This window comes from Homo sapiens, chromosome 10 (genome assembly GCF_000001405.40).
Source record: "Homo sapiens chromosome 10, GRCh38.p14 Primary Assembly".
In the NCBI taxonomy this organism is placed as follows: domain Eukaryota; kingdom Metazoa; phylum Chordata; class Mammalia; order Primates; family Hominidae; genus Homo; species Homo sapiens.
Genome location: NC_000010.11, coordinates 128,383,262 through 128,387,368, shown reverse-complemented (window position 1 = coordinate 128,387,368; position 4,107 = coordinate 128,383,262). Strand labels below are relative to the sequence as shown.

At 48.0% G+C, this 4,107-nt stretch overlaps 1 annotated feature.

Moving 5' to 3' along the window:
• Positions 247 to 748: an enhancer, noted in NCBI's record as "H3K4me1 hESC enhancer chr10:130184885-130185386 (GRCh37/hg19 assembly coordinates)". NCBI's record gives its function as "activates a minimal SCP1, AML or CMV promoter by ChIP-STARR-seq in primed H9 embryonic stem cells {active_cell/tissue: H9 hESC(primed)}" and the evidence as "EXISTENCE:reporter gene assay evidence [ECO:0000049][PMID:30033119]".

The following is a 4,107-nucleotide window of genomic DNA, read 5'->3' as shown; positions in this document are numbered from 1 at the left end:
CAAGTTTCCATCGTGTGTGCATGGGCACTGGCAGCCAGTTGGCGCTGCACTGACAGGTCCTCCCCAGGGTGCCACAAGCCCCCGACGTGACTTGCCATTCCTGGGCCATGCATCACTCCTGCTGGGAAATGCATCCCTCATCTCTCTGAAGCTTCCTGGAGGCTCATTTAGGCCTTGGCAGGATGGCGGGGACAGAGCAGCTGTTCTCTCTGACTCTTTCCCATCATTTGACCGGTTTTTAATCCGCAACAACGCTTCCAAAATTGAAAATGGAACCAGGTTGGATTCTCGAGCAGGGCCGACCAAGTGCAGGGCTGGCTGGGCACCGCATGGTGGGTGCCAGGACGAAGATGAATCTCCGCGATGCCCGGACTCCTGGCGAAGCAGAAGCCGGGCTGCCAGCCAGCGCCTGCATGTTCCTGGGCAAGGGATGCTTTATCCTGACAAACTCAGACATCCCATGACCCTCCCTGAGATCCCCTTGGTTCCCTCTCAGTCACCAACAGACTGTCTGGGAGGTTTCATTAATTTATGTGGAAGGCACTGATGTAGGAGACAAATTTTCATCAGGAGGCGGTGCCTGCCTGCCACCCTTGAGTTCCTTCTAATTTCTATTCATGTAAAATATTTCTCAAGATTTCCTCCAGGGATTTGGGCTTCGTTTTTAAAACTGTGATAAAACACATGTAACATAAAATTTACAATCTTACCATTTCTAGGTGTGCAGCAGTGGCATGAAGTACACGCTCAGTGCTGTGCAGCCAACACCACCATCCGTCTCCAAAACATTTTCATCTTTTAAAACAGAAACTTTGGCCCCATAAAACACACACTGTCCATTCCTCCCGCCCCCAACCCCTGACAACCATCATTCACAGAAACTCTGTCCCCGTGAAACCCAAACCGTCCATTCCTCCCACCCCTGACCCCTGACAACCACCATTCACAGAAACTCTGGCCCCATGAAACCCAAACTGTCCATTCCTCCCGTCCCCGGCCCCTGACAACCACCATTCCACTTCCTTTCTCTATAAATCTGACTCCTCTAGGAACTTGATTCAGGTGCAAGTACACAGTATTTGTGCTTTTGTGACTGGCTTATTTTACTGAGTATAAGGTCTTTAAGGTTCATGCAGGTTGTAGCATGTGTTGGCATTTCCTTCCTTTTTAAGGCTGAATCCCATTCCATTCCATGGATACACTATATTTTATTTATCCATTCATCCACTGATGGACACTCGGGTTGCTTCTACCTTTTGGTAATCGTGAATAATGCTGCTATAAACATGGGGGTGTGAGTACCTGTGCAAGTTCCTGCTTCCACTTCTTTTGCGTATATACCCACAAGTGAAATGGCTGAATCATATGGTAATTCTGGTTTTAATTTTCCATAGTGATGCACTGTTTGACATTCCCACCAACAGTGCACAAGGGTTCTAATGCTTCCGCGTTCTCACCAACACTTGTGATTTTGTTTTTTTGCTAGGAGCCATTCTAATGGATCTGAAGTGGTGTCTCATTGTGGTCAGACTCCTTTTTAAAAGTCAAAAACAAGGCCTGGCACGATGGTTCGTGCCTGTAATCCCAGCACTTTGGGAGACCGAGGCGGGCGGATCACGAGGTCAGGAGATCAAGACCATCCTGGCTAACACGGTGAAACCCCGTCTCTACTAAAAATACAAAAAAAATTAGCAGGGCGTGGTGGCGGGCGCCTGTAGTCCCAGCTACTCGGGAGGCTGAGGCAGGAGAATGGCGTGAACCCGGGAGGCGGAGCTTGCAGTGAGCCGAGATCGCGCCATTGCACTCCAGCCTGGGCTACAGAGCGAGACTCCGTCTCAAAAAAAAAAAAAAAAAGTCAAAAACAGAAGAATATGTACATGTTTCTGAGGCTCCTGTAGGCAGATTCCATCGGCCTCACGAAGACGTAAACCACACAACAACCTCAATAACAGCCACTGCCCCCTCTCCAGCAGCGCCTTGGGACCCAGCATTGGCATGGGCATCTTACGTAGACACTCCGTGTCCGGGGAGTGAGGGATGACTTGGTGACAGATGGAAGACTTGGCCACTGTGTGCTGAGGAGGTGAATGGATAGGGGAACAAAATGAGAAGAAAAAAAAAACGATATCTCAATAAGGCACAGGAAAAGAAGAAATGGAAGACAGAGGCTGTGGACAGATCCAGCCCTTTGGAGAGAAGCTCTGAAACTTTGATGGTCTCTCGGCGTGAACTTGCGGAGGGTCCTCCTCACTAATTAGCATCCCCGTGCATATGGAACACCAGGAGGACTGTTCAGCAGACCAGCCAGCCCTGCTAACTCAGCAAGTCATCTGGAACAGAAGCCAGCTCTGCAAAGCCGCACACTGAGCGCGGGTCATGGATCATCTTTTGCTAAGTAAGAACCGAAGAAGGCGTCCTGTTAATGAGATGCCCGCCACATGACAGACACTGAGCAATTAAACCAGGAGAGGCCAGAACACAGTAATTAAAAAGAACAGATGAAAATGGGAGAGTCACAGAGAGGGAGAGTCAAAAAATGGTATACCCAAACTCCTCAGAAATGGAGAACACCTTCAGGATTGCTAAAAGGGTTCAAGGGAATGTCCACTTCACAGGGTTTCACCACACGATTTTCTTGGACTTAAATTTTTTTCTGTCTGACTTGGCCTGGGCACTACTGGCTGATGTGTCTGTAGCACCCCTCCATTATTCCAGAACATTCCTTTCCTTTCTTGCATTCTTCCTGTTTGGATTGTTCTGTGCATGCAACACCTTGTTCTGCCTCCACCCTTTCCCCTGAGTGGACATGGCAGAGGCCACGGGCTCACATACACGGAGGAGCTGTGGCCCTTGCCCTAACGAGCTGTTCCTGCCCTGACCAGCCCAACCTTCTTCTTGTCACCGGCATGAGGATGTTGTGTTTCTCTATCACCCGGCATTCAGCTGTGTCCCTTTCCACAAGTCAATATGAAGAATGGATTTGATCCAAATGTCAGTGGTAGTTTCTTTCCCAGGCCCACTCTGAATTCCCCAACATGCCACATCCTTAGATAGCCTCTCCACTGTCAGCTGCGGCGGGGGCGGTCAATGCCCTTTGACTTCTATTCCCCAGGACTCAGGACCGGCTTCACAAATGCCCGACCTGAGCTGTTGCACAGGTTCCCACCTTCGAAAGCCAGAAGCATGGTTTCATGCTCTCCTGTAGTCCTCTTGAAAATCTTCATAATTTTTTAACAGGAGACCAGCAAATTATGTGGTAGGTCTCGCCAAGAATTTCTGATGTCTTCTGAAACATTCCTAGCTCCGGATGCTATCTTCCCACTGCTCTGCCCTGTCCTCTACTCATGTTGTTCTCAGATCTGTACAAAGTCCCATGGTACAGACAACTAGACAATACAAAAACAGGGTAAGTGTATTTCCCCCATCTTTATTTCTCAGTTATCTCTATTTTCAAGCTAGTGTCCACTTGTAGAAGAGAAGAGAAGATCTGGTTATTTAAATACATATCAAAAAAAATGTTTATCTGCAATAAATTATCTATCTGATGGGGTGGGAAGCTTCAGAATGAGACACATTTTGCAGGCCATCTGCAGTAAGGTAGACTTTGAAGATAACTGGGTCTGAAACTTAAAAGACAGTGTTCAGATCACCCTCCCACCCACTGGCTCTCAGGTTGTCTCCATTCTTCAACCGATTTTAAAAAGTAACTCTCATTTGTTTCATGTACATTTTTGAAAATAAGTACAATACATAAAAGCTAAATAAAAGAACTTCTAAAATCCTTCTGTTAGCACATTGCACTCACTCCTCAAATACTTCATGAGGCCGTGCTTGTGGGGACACACTTTACATGTGGGAGTATCGTTCACCCTGCAGGAGCACTGTTCACCCCAGGGAAAGACTGTTTACCCTGTGGGATCACTGTTCACCCCAGGGAAGGACTGTTTACTCTGTGAGAGCACTATTCACACTGTGGGAACATTCTTCACCCTATGGGAGCACTGCTCACCCTGTAGGAGAATCATTCACCCTATGGCAGCACTGTTCACCCTGCAGGAGCACTGTTCACCCCAGGGAAGGACTGTTCACCCTTTGGGAGCACTATTC